Source organism: Homo sapiens, chromosome 14, assembly GCF_000001405.40.
Source record: "Homo sapiens chromosome 14, GRCh38.p14 Primary Assembly".
Taxonomy (NCBI): domain Eukaryota; kingdom Metazoa; phylum Chordata; class Mammalia; order Primates; family Hominidae; genus Homo; species Homo sapiens.
In genome coordinates, this window is record NC_000014.9 from 69,111,609 (window position 1) to 69,131,740 (window position 20,132).

At 38.9% G+C, this 20,132-nt stretch overlaps 1 protein-coding gene across 14 annotated transcripts in view; it reads right to left on the minus strand.

The window, feature by feature from the left end:
* The window catches only part of DCAF5 (DDB1 and CUL4 associated factor 5), a 102,317-nt gene that overhangs the window by 60,728 nt on the left and 21,457 nt on the right, over positions 1 to 20,132 (minus strand). For 10 of the 14 annotated variants that reach the window (XM_006720297.3, XM_011537278.2, XM_006720299.4 and 7 more), the window contains 4 exons: positions 10,609 to 10,752; positions 7,586 to 7,622; positions 6,531 to 6,670; positions 4,758 to 4,887 (listed from right to left, as the gene is read on the minus strand). In XM_006720297.3, coding sequence (XP_006720360.1) covers positions 4,758 to 4,887; positions 6,531 to 6,670; positions 7,586 to 7,622; positions 10,609 to 10,752 — 451 coding nt within the window. Of the gene's footprint in view, positions 1 to 4,059; positions 4,239 to 4,757; positions 4,888 to 6,530; positions 6,671 to 7,585; positions 7,623 to 10,608; positions 10,753 to 20,132 lie in introns of those variants that run through there. The other 4 variants (XM_006720298.3, NM_001284206.1, XM_017021737.2 and 1 more) reach the window with 3 other exon arrangements.

Sequence of the window (20,132 nt, forward strand, 5' to 3'; positions counted from 1 at the left end):
GCAGGGGAAACTTTTGCTTTTCCTGAATTCTCTAGACATTAGAGGATCTCAGTTCTGAAAAGTGTTCAGAGGGCACTGCAACAGCCCAAGATAGATATAACTGGGACACTGGCAGTGAGAAAGGAGGTTACCTGTGAAAACAGCAGAAATCATCTAAATGAAATAAATGAAACCTTGTCAGAACATGCAATGTACACTTGTAAGTGTGAAATGTTTTTTTATCCAGTCACCTACACTCAAGCCTCTCCTCCCCAGTGACCACTCATCACCACTAAAATCCCTAAAGCAGAACTTTCCAACTCCAGTGTCTACAGGGTCAGGCAAGTAATGTAAATGAGGGATACACCTGTATTAAGACATCAAGAAGTGGTGGGACCCTTAACTAACATCATAAAGGTTTTGGCTGACTATTGCCATATGAGAATAAAGGTCCGACAATATCAGATCTTTTGTCTTTTTCAAGAGATGTAAGAAACTACAATTTTACTTTGTAATTTTTCAAACTCTAGTATATCAGGTAGACCAAAATATCTCTGTGGGTTGAATTTGGTCTATAGGCAGCTAGTTTACAACCTCTGTTCTAAAGTGTTGCAGCAAAATAAATAGTATATGCAGATTTCCAGGGTTATAAAAGGTAAGAAGTTTGAACAGGTTCTAGGCCATGAGACAGTGAAAAAGGGTTTAACTTTCAGGGACAGGAAGTCTAAAGGACTCAGACTTCAGAGTATGACAGGTCCATATTGGAAAAATTTGAAAGGAATTCTGAAAAAGTTCTATTGTAAGGAGGCACAGATGAAAGAAAACTAGAATGTACAGGGACCCTATGTGATTTAGTAAGAGAGGGAACTGGGTGTGGTGGCTCATGCCTATAATTCCATCTACTCGGGAGGCTGAGGCCTAGGCAACATAGTGAGATCCTGTCTCTAAAAATAAAAACTAAAAAAAAGAAAAAAACAGGGGAAAGGGGAAGGATGATATATATGTATACACACACACACACACACACACACACACACACACAAATAACACACAAGTTATTTCACCTCTCTGTGCCTTGATTTTCTTAAAATAAGAATAATAGAAGCTACCTCATAGGGTTATCATAAGGATTAAATGAGGTAATTATTCATATGATGGTCAATACTCCGATGGCACGTAATGCTTAATAAATGTTAGTTATTATTTATTATTATGAGACACTGAGAGGTGAAGTAACTTATTCAAGATCACATGCCTATTAAGGTGTACTACCTGGATCTGTAACCAAGAAGTATGGCTTCAGAGCCTATACTTCCTACACTAAACCATCAAGCTCTTCTTCCTCCCCTTACCTCACTGGGCTAGTTTCTTATTCTTAATCTGTACAATGAGGAAGTCTGATCATATTATAATTCAAGTCTTCTTTAGAGCTGACATTTTTTTTTTCTGCCAGCCAGCCCTCTAATCAGCTTATTTCAGGGCAGCAGTGGGACAAAAATGACTCTCCTCCTATACCTTCAGGCTACCAAGTGGAGAGGTATAGTGTAGGCTTGGGGTAAGACAGGGAAATCATTCAAGCATTGACTAATACATAGGTTAAGCCAGGAAGGAGAAGGTGTTCAGGGTGAGACCTTCATCACTGCTCCAAGGAGATTATCTGTTTCTAGGACAGCAGGCCCTGAATTCACCCACATGCCTGTGCAATTACAAGCTAGAAGTCATTTAAAAACCTGATAAGGAACCACAACAGGTTTAAAACCTAGGGTAATCAGAACACCAAGCAACTCTTATCCTTTTGGAGTCAAGGGTCTCTATGAGAACTTGGTAAAAACTTTCTACCATCCCTAGAAAAAATATGACATGTGTTCACTCAGATACACAAGCCATACAATTTTACCTGCAGTTATAGGGGATTCACAAATTCCTTAAAATCTCTCCCTACACTTGAAGTATCCCTGAAAAAGTTCTATCGTGTTCCAGGCTTGTCCTCCCAACAGATTTAGAGTTGCCCCAAAATCTAGGTTGGGGTTTCTAGGCAGCTGTGCTCAAGAGACAAATTATCTATTGCAACTCAGCATAACTAATCCTACATGGAAAAGAAAAAGGGTGGTCTCTTCCCCCAAACCAACTTGTACTGAGGGAATTCTAACAGAAAAGATCTGTAATTTCATCCCCAAACTCCAGTGGATGCTAAGTTAAGAAGAGTTCCAAGGATATTTCATCCCCCTTTTCTGCCTGACACCCATAAAACCTTGTAGAACCTTAGAAGAGTTGAAATAAATGCAAAAACATCCTAGTCCCCATGGCACTATGCTCCTTCTTTTATTCCAAAAAGAAATTAGTCATGATTGTCAATTAGCCCTACTGGGCAACTTTTCTCCTATATGGGCTCTGAAAACCGTAGGTTATCAAAGAAACTATAAAACCTTACCCATAATTGAAGAAGAACTCAAAACAAGATATCATTTTTCCCCCATAATACTAGCAATAGTTCAAGTGTTGGTGAAGGTCTGGAGACACATGCAATCTTATACACAGTTGGCAGATTTGTAAGTTAGTACAGCCTTTGGTGGTGGGGCTACAATTTGACAGTTTCTATCAAAAGTTTAAAAACATGCATCCTTTGATGTAGCAAAGTCCGTACAGATATTTTTGCAAAAGTAGGCCTGGTTATAAAGATAGATTTATAACCAGGTTAAATGTAACATTGTTTATAATGACCAAAAACTGGAAACAAGAAGCCCTGGTTGTTGGGTACATCATATAAATTGAATGCCATATAGTCATTAAAAGAAGGGGCTAGATCTGTTAGTGTTGGTATGAAAAAAGGCTCCAAAACATATTGTTAATTTAAAAAAGAAATCGAGAACAGTGAGTATTACTACGTGCTTCCTTCTGTCTCAATTTTTTTAAAGGATGCATATGCATAGTCGTATATACATTACATTAAGTTCTGGAAAGATAAGAAACTGTTCACTGTAGTTACCTCTGGAGTGACTACAGACACTAGAAAGAAGCAGAACTGTACTGATAGACAAACATTTTAAAAACATACAAGTAACAGAGATAATCTGGAGATGGAACTTGTTTTTTTGTTTTTATTTTTTTCTGCATAAAACCCCCAAACCAATAAATGTCACTGTAAAAATACAATAATCATCATCACTTTCAATTCTTTTAACAAGAAAGAAACTATATTTATTAGTGAGGAGACAAGTGGAAAGTGGGGGAGGGCCCATATAATGCACGGTAAGAAACTGGTGGAAGAGAATGGGAGAGAATTGGGAGAATTAAAATATCCACACTCCCCTCCTCTCTCAAGACACTGCAGACACCATGAATTGCTCAAGCTTTCCACTGGAGATAAACAGCTCAGTGCCCCACTCCAGTTGCCAGCTATTCATTGCAATTATAAGTAGGAGAGATAGTAGGTTGAGAGAAGGCTGGTGCAGTTTGTCCAAATCCTGCCTTTTGTAATACGGATGAGGCAGAACAGTTGTTCCTAAAGAGCCTGAAGTAGCAGAGAACACTGCAGATGAACACAGTTGTCTTCTTGGCAGACAGCAAGCCTCCTAAAGTTCATAGTGCAAAGGCACATCAGGGGTCCTGCCACTACACACATTTCAATAGACTGTAAAAGCAAGAGCCAGGTGCCTACGCAACAGAAGGGGCAGGAGAAATCTCTGCTGCCCTGAGGAAGCTTAGGGAGCCTTGCTCAATGACAGGGACACACCTCTGGGCTACACCGATCTGCTACAATAGTTCCAACCATCTCTTACTGCCCCATGGAGAGAATCACCTAGGAGTAAAAATCATCAAGGAAGATAATCTTCTGTACTTAACTACTCCTTTCATCTGAGGCCCGTGAAATAAATTATAACATCACTTAGTTTCCATGATATTCTTCTGCAACACTGCTTTATGAAGTGGGAAATTACATCTATGCAGAATTTCCAGAGGAGCTAGCTAGCAATACACGGAAGTTTTTTAATACAGCATGGCCAACTTTATGTACAGGTGCCATAAAAAGTAGTCCCTCCCCCATGGGACTTAAGGAACATAAAAGAGCCTGCTACTCACCCCCATTCCCACATCCTTTAATGATGCCTGAGATTCCCCCATTAGTGATTCATGCCATCATTCAGGTTTGTCTTAAGTATGCTCTTTTCATAGTGCCATGTGGAGAAACACATGAGGTCCTGAACACCACAGTGCAATGGCTCTTAACCTTTTGTTGTTGTCACTATAAAGGTCATTAGTCCTTTTGATAAACAGAAAATGCACTTATTTGAATATACAATATATAATTTTCATATAATTTTGGCAGTTCAGTATTTTTTAAGCCCTCTTAGGGATCCCCTCCAACCTAGGCTTAAGAATCCCTGACTCAGCAGCAACAAGTTTGGCAAATCTCCACCTCCACCTCCTCCCCTCCACCCACCCCACACCAAGAGCTCCTATGCATCTGGGGAACCCTGGGTCTGAAGAGAGAAGGCAATACTAAAGGGATGCTCTGACTACTTCAGATAATTGCCTAAAACTCACCCTGTCTACAGTCCAGATTACTGTTTATGATTCCTCCTCAGCAAGGAGTACGGATTTGTCGCTGTCTATTCCTTGGAAACAAGCTCTCCTGGCTTGAGAGACACTATATATCTTAAGAAATGCCCAGCAGAGATAACTGCCAAAGAGGTCCTTACAACACTTACTGGCTGGTCACATTACCTGAGAAATGAGGCAGAGGAAAGTTTTAACACCTATGAATAAAGGGGGCTCACCTCTGAGGTTTTCGAATGTCCCAGAGTCCCACTCCTTCCTTTGAATTGGCTGTGGCCAACAACCTGGGCTCCACAGGGTTAAACATGACACTATGAAAGGCTGATGGATAGTTTGCCAGGCAGAAGGGCTCTGTGGAAAGAAAAATTATAATCAGTTCACTCCAGGTACCTGTGGGCCACTGGCAGGCAGATAATCAGGAATGTGAATACAGGTCGGAGCACTCTTTAATAACCACTCCAACGGCCTGGAGCCCCAAAACAGCACATAATCCCACCAGTCACCTCTACTTACAAGGTCCCCATGAGTCCTATACATAGCAAGGTAAACACATTTAACCACATTTTAAGCTATAACACCCAGAAATATATATAGCAGCTATCAGATCTTGACACAAAACAGAAACGGCCACTAAAAATGGGAAAATAAGCCATTTTACAGTAAGTAAAACTGAATTCCACATGAGCTGAAAAAATTCACAACCAAGTATGGTAGGGTTATTATGCTTTTAATCCAATTGTATTAGTTTTAGAAAAGTTTTTAAACCATGCACAGATTTGATGAAGATTAAAAAAAACAATGACAAAATTAAGACGTGGTGAAACACAATGGTGTGGTTTTTCTCTTCTGGTTCACAATGCTCCCTAACATCTAGCCAGTCTGTAATCAACTTCACCTAGAAACCCTGCAACATTTTACAAAAATTAGCAGGTTCCAAGTGAGGAAGAAATCACTTAGTTACCTAGCAGGATATACTCCTATGGGACCTGTTAGAGTAATACAAAGAAAGCACTTCTCAGTCTATGACCTCCATATGCAGTATTTCACAGGTCTCTGAGCAGGTAAAGCACTCAGTCATCTCTGCCATCAGGCAGTTCAGACGAAGGAGAATTTCACTTACCAAGCCCACAGTGACTCGACCACAGCTGCTACTTCGTGCTACCTTACCTGCCTAACCCTAAAAACAAGCTTCTCTTATAGCCTGAACCTAAATAATGAGCACAGCCCAGAATGTAAAATGTTTAGAACATAGAAAAGTTAAAAGACCCAGATCCTGCCAGACAGAGCAGGCAGGATAGTAAATTTAGGTACACAGCTGTGATCATTACAATCTGCACTAAAGGCCACGGTGGGTATGGCAGTGGCACTAAGGCTGGTACTAGAGGAAGGGGCCTTTTGAAGACAGGTAGAATTACAGAAATCTCTCTGTAGGAAATGAGCTGAGAAGATGCATTTCCTGAAGAACTTCAGAGAAAGTCAACAAAGCAACTTCTTCATTTCACACATCAGAGAGTCAAAGGGCACATTCAGAGGAGGCACTCACACGACAATCCCCTTTAAACAGAGTTTATTTGCCATCATTTTAAGATCCTATACACAGGTAATTTGAGATTCGGTGGTTCTTTCAACAAAATAACAAGCCTGAAACTAGGATGCAGGAAAGTGCATAACGCCCCCATTCTCTGTAAATAATCAAGAATAGTTACATGTCAGCACCACAACTTCTGCTCCTTGGGGCACTAAACACCAAAGTACAAGGGTTTGTGGAGAGTCACAGGAGGGTGGAGAAGGACTGGCAAAGGTGCCTCACTCCTGAGTATTTAGGTGGAGGATAAGGCCTCCAAAGACCTCTTATGCCCCCATGTGAGTGTTTCACATTTCCTTTCCCTTGACATCACTTGCACATAGATACTGAGGTAATAAATTGGATCTTCAATGAATCTGACATCAAACTGTTCAACACAGTCCAACAGTCATTTGCACAGTGAGCCTACCTCCATGGGGGGATTCCCGAATGTCCCAAATGAGAACCCGGCCATCATCTGAGGAACTGGCAAAAATGTTGTCATTCACTGGGCTCACAGACAAGCCATATACTGCATCTTCATGAGCAAACACGTCCAATGTCTCACTGCTGGGAGATAAGAGAGCAAGACAGAGGCACACACATACACACAAGCATAGTGCAGAGTCCCAGCACTTTGGTACCGAGGGTGCCATCTTTTCCATTTCTAGAAGAAAGTCAACCTAGCTAAACCCAAAAAATATTATATTTCCTGAAAGGTAGGTAGTCAACTTTCAGGTTAAAAAAAAGGTACTATTAAGGAGTCTTTTTAGAGATTTTATAATTTTTGTGCTAAATAAGCATATTTAAAAGTGACTCAATAGCTGAGTTTTGTATTTTCATTTATTACAGAATGCATCTGCTTGTGTACAGATTTGGGGGTCATACTTGATTTTCAAAAAGCAAGGGAAAGCTTTAAAGCAGCCAAGTCTGATGCCTACAGGATGGGAGAGGGGTCTCCTAGCAATCTGGCATGGTGATGAAGAGCATGGCTCTGAGGCCAGATAGCCTAAGTTCAGGTTTTAGTACCACCTGACCTTCTGTTATCTAACATGTCTGTGACTCCGTTTCCTGATCTAGAACGGAGATGACAATAGTATCTCCTCAGAAAATGAGTGTGAGGATTAAATGAATGAATATGTACAAAGCATTTACAATGGTGTCTGGCACATAGTAAGAACTCAATCAATATTAGCTATTACTGTTCTTAAATATTATGGTTCCTTCTCTTCTAAACTCTTGTTTTAAATTTTCACCTAAAAAGTACACTCTCATACCAACTTTCAAAACTTTCAAATCCCTTTTTCCTTTTTAAATCAAAACTTTATTTATTTCAAACTATTGTAGGAATTTTTTTAGAAAAGAACAGCTGGTTTCATGTTGTTTTTTTCAAAAAACAAAAACTATTTTAGTCTAAAGAGATATTTGCCTCTTCATATATGAAAAACAAAGTCAATCACCTTCACACACCACCAATCTATTTACCTTTCAACATCATGGAGGATAACTTGCTCATCATTGCCTGCAAAAGAAAAAAGCAGACATCTGATCATTCGTGCAAGGTGGTCCCTGTCCACATTACAATTTAGTATTTTTAAGTTTTCAGGGAAAAAATATGAACAAAGCCAATGCTAATACAAATTAGAAGTGTTAACTGGAAAAAAGATTTATAGAAATAATTTAAGAAGGATAGGACATTCTTACAGAGAATTTTTAAAAAATAATGGCATCCAAGTATAACACAGTAACAGTTCCCAATGTGTATTATCCAGTGGATGATGTAAAAAAAAAAAACAACTGTGGCTACAACCTGGGCAACATAGTTAGACTCCATCTCTATGAAAATAAAAATAAAAAAATTAGCCAACTGGTGGCACACCCTTGAAGTCCCAGCTACTAAGGAGGCTGAGGTGGAAGAATCGCTTGAGGTCAGGAGTTCAAGGCTGCAGTGAGCTACGATCGCACTCCAGCCTGGGCAACAGAGAGAGACTGTCTCAAAAAAAAAAAAAAAGTAGGGGGGAAACAACACAAAACAAAACTGTGGCCATCAAGAAAAACACTAAATGATCATTGACAAATCAATTCACTAGCTTTATTTTTTTTCTTTTTCAGCAGAACACTCACTAATCATGAGACCTGCAATAAAATCTTTAGCATTTCTATGACCTAACTTTTTAACCTACAGAATAGGGATAATAACATCATAGAGTAACTGTAAGCATAAGAGTACATCTGTAAAAGCATTCAGAATAGGGCTGATCACTTAATAAGCCCCCAATAAATGTTTGTTAATATTTCTATCCTCATGGTCTTTTAAAAATGTTTCTTTCTTTCTTTCTTTTGAGACAGGATCTTGCTCTGTTTGTCTTTTAAAAATTTTTCTTCTTTCTTTCGAGACAGGATCCTGCTCTGTTGTCCAGGCTGGAGTGCAGTGGTGCAATCATGGTTCACTACAGTCTTGACCTCCTGTGCTCAAGCAATCTTCCCACCTCTGCCTCTCTAGTAGCTGGAACTACAGGCATGTGTCACTATGCCTGGCTAATTAAAAAAAAAATTTTTTTTGTAGAGATCTAACATGTTGGGGTCTAACTATGTTGCCCAGGCTGGTCTCAAACTCCTGGGCTCAAGCAATCCTCCTGCCTTGGCCTCTCAAAGTGTTGGGATTATTACAAGTGTGAGCCACCATGCCCAGCCTCATCATCTTTTATAGCATGAAAATTTGATGACTGTGATTCCAAATGATGTGAAAGTTTTAATCTTGTATTTCTCCTTATTCTATCAAAGGATATAAATTATATTCATGATATGTGTAGTCCTGCCTTCAAATGGTTTGTATAGCAAAAAAATTAAAACCTGAATATAAGAAGACAAAACATGAAAAAAGTCCCACTCTATGCTAAAATGCACAACCAACAGTCACTTAAATAGAAAGCAAAAGTAGCAGTAAAGATATGGCCCAGGGCATCTTAAACAAAGGCCTGGCTGTAAATTCTACTGTAGGTACAAACCAATGAAATCAGTAAACCCATACTAATGCCTTCTAGGTATCAGGTACAGTGCTAGGTCTTGGGTATATAAAAAGAATAAGATTCTACTCTGTCCTTGAGAACTCCAATTGGACTTGAGAACAGTCCAACTGGACAAACAACTAACAGCAACAAGAGGGTTTGCCTTGCAGCAATATGATCTAGCTATGGGGTCAATTATTTCCTTCATAAGCAGGGTGAAAGTACATGGAGAAGGAGACCTTTGAAGAGAAACTCAAATAACTCAAAACTCTTACCAATGAAAGGCTTAGGGGAATTGGTGGGGACTGGACAATTAAGGTGGAAGAACACCATGAACAAAAGGCACAAGGGCAAAATAGTACCATGCAGTGCATTCTTAAAATGACAAATAGTTTGGTGGGCTACAGTGTATAACTCAGGGAAGGGAGGTCAGGCCAGACAGATAGATTGGGATTTAGACTTCATTCTTCAGGCACTGTAGGCTCAATGGTTCACATGGTCCAGTCTTTATTTTTAAAAGTAAACTTGTGTATGCAATGAATTCAAAGGAGAATTAGAGAGTGGTAACAGAAATCACAGAAGGCCATTGCAAAAATCCAGGCCAAACTAACGGATGAGTATGAGAGGCTTTCAAGATAGACCTGACAGGACTTGGTGACAGACTAGATGTGTAAATGTAAGAAAGGCAGGTTTGAGGATGACTCCAAGATCATAGGTAGAATGAACCATGTGAAACTGCTACTTTTTAAAGTTGAAAATGGTTAATTGTCAGCAATTTCTTAAAGTTAAACCTAATAGCTTATATAATTGGGTGAATGGTTGTAACTGAGAAAGAAAATCCAGCAGACAAGAAGAAATTTTCACTCAGGGGAGGACTAATGATCTTGGTTTTAGATCTATTGTATTTAAGTTGCTTTTGGAACACAGGTAGATATCCAGTGGGAAAATCTGCAGCTCAGAAAAGAGGTCAGAACTAGAAATGTGGGGTCAGAAGGAGTATGGTTGATGGAAGCCATCACCAAGAGGTTGGTGTGAGCACCAGCCATTCCAATTGTACCCTAACACAACACTTTTCAAACAGGAGCCATCTGTGGGTCAGGACATTCATCTGCGTTATGGCCAGCATAATCTTTAAAAATGAAATCGAATAGAATAAAAAAAAACCAGAGTGTGCCACAAATAGGAAGGTTAAGTATTGTTTCAAATATGTGTGTGTGTCTGTGTGTGTTTCTGTGTACCAGACTGCAATGTGAAAAGTTTTCTGCCAAAGAGAAATAAAGAAAAAGACAGGTGAAGAAAAGCAAAAAAAAGAGAAGAGAGAAAAGACACACACTATCCTAATATATAATACTGCTGTAATGCAGAAAAGACAAGCTATGAGAAACCAGTAATTCCACAGCTCAATGAAATACAGGAAGAAAAATAAGGAGTTATTTTCGCACTCTTTTCTCTAAAATCCCAACCACAGTGACGTTCCCAAGGTAGAATCTCCCTTTTTACCTCCAGAGAACACTTTAGTGTTCCCACTGTTGAAAGCCAGGCAAAAAATGTTGGAATGGTGCTCTCCTTTCAGCTGTATGGGCTTGACCCTGGAGTGGATGGCTTGTTCCATGTGCCATAGCAGAACCCGGCGGTCATCTCCTCCTTAAGAAGGAAATAAGAATCTGTGCTTAAAACAGCTGACATCGCAAGGCTGACAGATGGTTTTGCCAGCCTTGAATCCCATCCTTTCCAAAACTGCACCTCCCCAACTCCATAAGATTCGCATGGAGCACAAAAACCCAGGACTCTCCCTGCTTCACCATCAATAGGCACGTGTTCTCTAGGCCATTCATCTCTCCCAGGAATTGAATCTTAAGCAGACATAGAAAATGAAAGGGATAAGCACTGATATTGAGACTCCTAAAGCCACCCTGTTCCTGTCTTTCCAGAGTTGTTTAAATATTTCTTCATTTGCTACCTAGAACCCCTTCATGGAAGTCCTTTTTTGTTTGTTTGTTTAATAGAACCTGAGATGACTTCCAGGGCTTGCAATCAAAGAACTTTAAAGTAATATTTCTAGCATAATGGTTTTCAAAGCAATCTTCTTGATATGATCTCATTGATTGTGGAACACCATACAAATGATAACTAAGAAATCACCTGACTCTTACAGTAATAGGATCTAGACAGAATATGGCTCAGCCCAGCTCTTAACTCTGCGTAACTTTGGGTCTAAGTTGGTTGTTATTGTTTTTTCCCATTTTTACTTTTTACTTTTACTTTTTTTGCATTGACTTTTTATAAGAAGGCTATACTATTTTCCTAATAAAAATTTAATTTACAACAGCAGCAAACCATAGCAAGCTCTACACCTCCACCTCCCTTACTCCATTCAATGAAAAATGCAGCCACAAATGATAGCACATCCATACAAGGGCATACTATGAAGCCATTAAGTTGTTAGATCTATACAAAAGCTAATGCAGAAAGATGTCCAAAGATACCCGTTAAGGGGGAAAATGAGGTATAAAACAGTATGTAATCCATTTGCATAAAACAAAATTTTTAAAAGCTCCATGACAGCAGAAACCTTGTCAGTTTTGTTCACTGGGAAATACCTGGCACCTACATGAGTGCTCCAAGGAATGAGCATTGACAGTATGCTTATACTCGCATATCTATGCATTGACAGTATGCTTATACTCGCATATCTATGCTTGTATTTGCATAGCCCTATCTAGATGGCTATAAAAGAAGCTGTTTATAGTGCCAACTATAACTGGTAGGCTGGTGTTGGGAGACTTTTTATGGTGGTAAAATATATATATATACATGTAACTTACCATTTTACCCATTTTCAAGTGTACAATTCAGTGGCATTAAGTACATTTGTGCTGTTGTACAGCCACTGCCATTATTCACCTTCAGAAATTTTTCATCATCCCAAACTGAAATACTGTACCCAATAAACAATAACTCCTCCCAGTGCCTAGTCACTGTTCTTTTTTTTTGAGACGGAGTCTCGCACTGTTGCCCAGGCTGGAGTATGCAGTGCAGTGGCGCAATCTCGGCTCACTGCAACCTCCACCTCCCAGGTTCAAGCGATTCTCCTGCCTCAGTCTCCTGAGTAGCTGGGATTACAGGCTCCCACCACCACGCCCAGCTAATTTTTCGTATTTTTAGTAGAGAAGGGGTTTCACTATGTTGGCCAGGCTGGTCTCAAACTCCTGACCTCATGATCCACCCACCTCGGCCTCCCAAAGTGCTGGGATTACAGGCGTGAATCACTGTGCCCGGCCAAGTAGTCACTATTCTACTTTCTGCCTCTATGGATTTGTCTACTCTAGGAACCTCGTATAAGTCAAATCACACAGTATTTCTCCTTCTAGGTCTGGCTCACTCCCTTAGCATAATGTCTTCAAGGTGCATCCAGGTCGTGGCATGTATCAGAATTTCCTTGCTTTCTAAGGCTGAATAGTATTCCATCGTATATATATTTGTATGCATATTTTGTTTATCCACTAATCCATCAATGACCATTTGGGTTATTTCCACCTTTTGGCTATTGTGAATAATGTTGCTATGAACACAAGTGTACAAATAACTTTTTGAGTCCCTCCTTTCAATTTGGGTATATACTGTTGGAAAACTTTTACTTTCTACCTTCCTATACTGCTTGACTTTTTGCCACAGCAGATTTCTTCTTATAATAAAAAATAGAAGATACAGAAGCCAAATCATACTTATTCTCCTGCTCCTAGAAAGAAATTGTCTTTGCTACTTGAATTCCTTTGTTTCTTGAATTTCTTCTTCCTTCCATTGTCAGTCCAAATCAAGTCGTCCACCAAACTGATGTCTTAAGTGTGGCCCACAGTGTTCTCTTTATGATTGGCCTATTTCAACTATGAGTTCTCTGGCCTAGGATAGTATCTAAATTATGTATTTCTTACAAATTTACCATTCTGTAAAACATCAAGCTAAGGTCATGAAAATCATGGTTTGGGTTTTTGTCACTTTATTTTAATGAAAAATGCACAAATGGTTTTCCACACTGCAAACAGACTTAGGTATGGGCACTTTAGTTCTCTATAGTCTCCACTCCTATGGTTTTCTCCCAACACTGAGGCTGTGAGTCAGTGACTTATCACTGCTTCTGCTACTATATTTTTTTTTAATTAGATAAGTATTTCTCTATACTTATGTCTCTAGCAAAAGCAAAAAGTTAAAAGAGAGGCACACGTTTCTTCTACTTGCTCATGTTTCTGACCTAATCTCCCTCTGCCTCAGTTTCATCAAACATAAAATGGTAATCATAATACTTCTTCTACCTCATTGGTTTTATAGATGATAAAGCCAAGTACAAAAGAGTAATATGCCAACATCACACAATAAAGTCATTGAGCTAAGATTCAAAAGCAAGCAGTAAATATTCTATAGCCCCGACTCTTAACCACTATTCTATACTGCCTTATTGAACAAAAAATGAACCATAACTGACAAAGCAAATTCATTCTGATGGACAGTTGAAGGGATTGTCCGCCTTAGTAGCATAACTCATAAATGTTAAGTAAGAATAAAGGGAGCCCAGAAGTAAAAACAGAAGCTGACTTAACTCCAGCAAACTGGCCCCTGGAGTAAACTGAAGGACCAGAACAGGACTGCCTGAATTTATAAGAATTCTTGCAGTGCACAAAACTGGTAATGGCTTAATGTCTAGAAGATGCAAAGAATTTCTACAAATAATTCTTAAAACTCCAATAGGAAAAGAGGCAAAGAATACAACCATTCAGAAAAGGAAACCCAAATACCAAACATATTATAGAAGATCTCAAATTCTATATGGTATCAGGGAAATGTACGTTATAATTTAGACAGATTCTCACAAAGTGGCACAAGGGAATGTACAAGAAAGTTCACTGAAGCATTGGTCATAATATCAAGAAAACCTATATACAACATAAATATCTAACAATTCAGGAATGGAAAAATTCCACTGGAATATAAAATAGGTGGAGTCTAAACACAATGGAACATCATACAGCAGTTAAAGTGAACAAGAAACATGTAAACAAACATGAATAAATATTGAAAACCTAATGGTAATAAAAGCAAGTTTCGAAAGGATATGAAAGGGATAATATCTAAGCATGTATTTTTAAATATACAAAACAATACTTTATATTGTTTATGGATAAACACACATAGTAAAAGAGGCTTTTAAGTGTATCTGTAGTGTTTCTTTAAAAAAAAATACAGAAGTGATTTTAGCAAGATTGTGAGATATAAGGTTAATATACAAAAGTCCATCACTTTCCTATATACCGGCAATGAATAAGTGGAATTTGAAATATAAAATATTTAGGTATAAATTTAACAAGATTTTACAAGATCTACATAAGAAAAATTATAAAACTCTAATGAACAAAATCAAAGAACTAAATAAATAGACAGAGATTCTTTTTTTTTTTTTTTAGACGGAGTTTCACTTTTTTTTTTTTGCCCAGGCTGGAGTGCAATGGCGCAATCTCAGCTCACTGCAACCTCTGCCTCCCGGGTTCAAGCAATTCTCCTGCCTCAGCCTCCTGAGTAGCTGGGATTACAGACACCCACCACCACGCCCAGCTCATTTTGTATTTTTAGTAGGGACGGGGTTTCACCATGTTGGCCAGGCTGGTCTTGAACTCCTGACCTCAGTTGATCTGCCCACCTAGGCCTCCCAAAGTGCTGGCATTACAAGCTTGAGCCACCATGCCTGGTCAAGACTCAGTATTTTTAAGATATCAGTTCTTCCCAACTTCATCTATGGATTCAATGCAATCCCACTCAAATTCTCAGCAAATTCATTTTATGCATATCAGCAAAATGATTCTAATATTTATAGGAGAGGCAAAAGGCCCATAATAGTCAACATGATTTTGAAGAACAAAGTTGGAGGACTGACATTACCTGACTTCAGGTTACCACTAATATACAGTAATCAAGACAGTATAATACTGGCAAACAAATACACAAATAGATCAATGGAACAAAACAGAGGGGCCAAAAACAGACCCACGTAAGTATAATCAACTGATCTTTGACCACGGAGCAAAGACAAAACAATGGAGCAAAAATGGTCTTTTCAACAAATGGTGCTGAAACATCTAAATATCCACATGCATAAAAATGAATTTAGATACAGACTTTATACCCTTCATAAAAATTAACTCAAGATTGATTATAAATCTAAATGTAAAACCAAAACTATAAAACTCCTAGAAGATAGTAGGAGAAAACCTAGATGACACCAAATGCTGGTCATGATGTGGAACAACACGCAATCTCATTCATTGCTGGTAGGATTGCAAAATGGTACAGCCACCTTTGAAGATAGTTTGGCAGTTTCATACAAAACTAAACGTACTCTTATCACGCAATCCAGCAATCATGCTCCTTGGTATTTAACCAAAGGAGTTGAAACTTGTATCTACACAAAGACCTGTACATGGATTTATTTTACAACAGCTTTATTTACAATTGCCAAAACTTAGAAGCAACCAAGATGTCCTTCAGTATGTAAATGGATAAATCAACTGTAGTACAACCAGACAACAGAAACTTTTTCAGTGATAAAAAGAAACGAAATATCAAGCAGTGAAAAGACGTGGAGAAACCTTAAGTACACATTACCAAATGAAAAAAGCCAATCTGAAAAGGCTACATACTGTATGACTTCAACTCTATGATACTCTGGAAAAGACAAAATCATGGAGACAACAAAAAGATCACTAATTGCCAGGGTTTGGAGGCAGGGGTTGAATATATGGAGCAGAGAAGATTTTTAGGGCAGTAAAAATCCTCTGTATGATACTGTAATGATGGATACATGTCATTACATTTGTCCAAACCCATAGAATATACAATACCAAAAGTGAACTCTAAGGTTCATTTTTTGAACATTGGGACTCTGAGTGTTTATGATGTGTCAGTATATGTTTACCAATTTTAACAAATTTACCACTCTGGTGGAAGATGTTGACAATGAAGGAGGCTATGCAGGTGTGGGAATAAGGGGTACATGGAAAACCTCTGTACCTTTCTCTTAATTTTGCTGTGAACCTGAAACTTCTCTAAAACAAAGTCTTAAAAACAAAACATCATAAGTAAATCCTTCTACCAGTAATAATAATAATATTGGAAGTAAATTTAACAAATCATCAACATTTTGTCAAATCCGATTGGTATCTCTCTACTTCATTTAAATACCCCATATTAAGGAAGTATTGTTACATCTTTTAGGTATTATAATGGCATTATGGTTATGTTAAAAAAGAAAAAAATCCTTATCAATTAGAGGTGCATACTGAAGTGGGTGAAATGGAGTATGTCTGGAATTTCCTTTAAAACTTTCCAGAAAAAAAAGTAGAGGGATAGATGATTAATATGGACAATTGCTATAGATGCATACACTATACTATTCTACTTTTGTGTATGCTTGAACAATTTTTTCTTCTTCTTTTTTTTTTTTTTTGAGAGTCTCACTCTGTCACCCAGGCCGGAGTGCAGTGGCATGATCTCAGCTCACTGCAGCCTCCACCTCCCAGGTTCAACTGATTATCCTGCCTCGGCTCCATGGGTAGCTGGGACTACAGGCAAGCACCACCACACCCAGCTAATTTTTGTATTTTTTTAGAGACAGGATTTCACCATGTTGCCCAGGCTGGTCTCCAACTCCTGACTTCAAGTGATCTGCCCGCCTTGGCCTCCCAAAGTGCTGGGATTACAGGCGTGAGCCTGGCTGAATATTTCCATAATAAAGAGTTTTGGATTATGTTTAATGTTCATGATAGAAAAAGAAAAAAAACAAGACTGCAGGATGGGCTGGGATACTCATGGCTCACTAAGACCTACAGCACAGTCTCTCCTGAATTGAAGCAGCTTAAGTAAAAACAGAATATTGTGCGCCTGTAGTCCCAGCTACTGGGGAGGATGAGGCAGGAGAATCACTTGAACCCTGGAGGCGGAGGTTGCAGTGAGCAGAGATCGTGCCACAGCACTCCAGCCTGGGTAACAGAGCAAGACTCCATCTCAAAACAAACAACAACAAAAAAACCAAAAACAGAATATCTGCCAGGCCCAGTGGCTCATGCCAGCACTTAGGGAGGTCGAGGTGGGAGGATCCGTAATCCCAGTACTTTGAAAGGTCGAGGTGGGAGGATCACTTGAACTCAGGAGTTGGAGACCAGCCTGGGCAACATAGTGAGACTTTGTCTCTACTAAAAGAAAAAAAAAGAAACCAGAATATCTATACCTTTGTGCCCAACTCATAACCATTCTCAGCCTAAGGTCTCCCTCCATTACCCAGACAGAAATAATCTTTAATGTTCATTCTAGGCATTTATAGGATGATTTCATTTTGCCTAGTACTCAGTAATTCAAAATTCATGGCTATTTGTTAAATGCCTTGGGATCGTTTTAAATGATGTGTCCTTAGTAACTAACATGATGATGACAGCCCAATCCATGGGAGATTGGAATCACTGAGGCAAAAATCATCGCTGTGATGGGGCCTGCCTCTTGACTTTGCCCTCAAGGTTAGCATCAGAAGATGTAAGCTAAACACACCCCCTTACTCCACTCAACCCCTCATTCCTTTAGGCAAGGTATTAAGAGCCCTATGCAAAGGCAATCTTCAAGTATGCGTTGGCAGAAAAACAACCAGTACAAATTGAGGCATAATGTAAAACCGTTAGGCTGCTTTTCACCCAGCAGAGGGCGCTAAACAGCTGTGCCCAAGCCTCTGATTCAACAAAGCAAACGAGGGCTGGTGAAGCAAGGGAAAGTCAGTTCAGACGCAAAAGCAGCTCTACAATTGTCTCCCTTAATCTCCTAGTCAGTTCAGAAAGGCAGAGATTTATTGTTTAGTTCCACAGAGAGAGACTGACCTGCAAATAATCCAAGTGAAGAATATTTAGGATCATTTCAGACCATTTAAGCCAGCCCCATGGGCCTGGCAGTTGGATGAGAATGGGGTCAGCCTCAGGAGAGGGACCCTAGCCCCAGCCTCTCTGGGGCACCGGAGGTGGAGCACAGGGACTTCTCGGGAAGGCTAGGCCTTTCTTCTCAGTGCCAGTGCCAGGCAAAGACAAGCAGAGGCCAGGCCTTCTAAGCCTGGTTTCCTCACAAACAATTGCTTACCTTCAACTCATCTGAGAACCCCAAGAAAATACAACTACATACTCTGGTTTTGGTTTTTTGGGTTGGTTTCATTCTGCACTAAAATCACTAATTCATCAAAAAATGTACTATAATCACATTGTGGCAGCAGCTTTGTAGTTACAGAAAACCTTTATACTTAAAGAGTACCCTTTCCCAAAGGGTCCCGAGCTATAAGCAGAAACTAAGCAAGCCCTTACAACACACTATAACAAAGTAATTATTTAACATTCTTCTTATTTTATTGCTCAGAAAAGCTGAGGTAAGGATTTGCTTTGGGTTTCCTCAAAAGCCAGCCAAGCACAGGACTGAGAAAGCAGTCTGAAATTCTGGGTCGAATATTCCTGGAACTTATCATTGTTTGAAGAGCCAAAGAAGAATAATTTAAATGTCCATCAACAGAAGTCTGGTTAAAATTATTGTTTAATAAAATAAGCCAGACATAAAAGGACAAATATTGTATGATTCCACTTACATGAGGAATAGTCAAATCAGAGACAAAGTAGAATGGCAGTGGCCAGGGGCTGGGGGAAAAGAGGAATGGCGAGTCATAGTTTAATGGGTAGTTTCTGTTTTGCAAGATGAAAAATTCTAAAGATGGATGTGGTGATGTATTAATTACATGAATGTAATTAATACCACTGAACAGTAAGTACACTTAAAAATGGTTAAAATGGTAAATCTTATGTTGTATACATTTCACAATAAAAAATATAAGAAAGTTTACTACTTATATATGTACAATGCAGCCTAAATAAATAAAAGCATGAGGCAGCTCTGTCTATACTCACATGGAACAATTTCTAAAATATAACGTATTAGTGACTGTATTAATTGTTCAAAACATTCTTTTAACAAGTAACAATGGGATTAGATACAGAGCTTGGGGTTTCATCTTTGAGAGGCAGCAAAGATGGTGCTATAGAAGGGTACAGGAAGTGCAAGCTCTGGAATAAAAGGACTTGATTCAAATCTTGGTTTCGCCATTCATGTGTCCTGGTTACTCTACTCCTCTACCCTAATTTTTTTATTGTAAAATGGAGAAAATACCAACTATTTCCCAGGTTTGTTGTGTGTGGTGAGATAATGTTTGTAAAAGCACTTAGCCCAGTGTGATATATATTAGGTGCACACAGCTCTCAAATTGTCCTTGTGTCCGTAAAGTATCATCCATGAACTTGTCCTAATCTTTCAAACCTTGTTTTAGGTAGCATTAAGAATATGAATAGTATGATACAATTACACAAAAACATACACAAATTTATACATACAAAGACAGATGCAAAATGGTTAGCAGAGGTCATCTCTTGCAGATAGCAATTTTACTTAATACCCTTTCATATTGCTAAAGTGTTTTCTTTTCTTTTCTTTTTTTTTAACTGTGAAGCCTAAAGGAAAATCATTCAGCCTGGCTTTCTTCTCAGCCCATTTATTCCTCTTCAGTGAGTGTACTGTGTAAGACCAAACCTCCTTTTGTGTTAACCATACCTCTCCTAAGCTCCAAGAAACTGCAGCGCATTACAGAGGCACAGTCTGTGTGACACACAGCCCAGCTACGTCAGTGGATGGAAAATAAGTCTGTTTTGTTATTTTTCCAAAGTTGAAAATAATTGATATTTGTATAGGAATTCAATCACTTACATATCTCATTTTATTGTCACTTGTGAGGTAAGGATTATGTAGGCCCTTTTTCTAGACACGTATCAGAGAGGTAAAATGACTTGCTAATAATCCAAAGAGCTTGGCCTGGAGCCTAAAACTAAGTTGTATCCATTCTACCAACATGCAGAGGACAGAACAGCACCTAGCATTCCAAATGAGGAATGTTCTGGAGCTTTACACAAGGA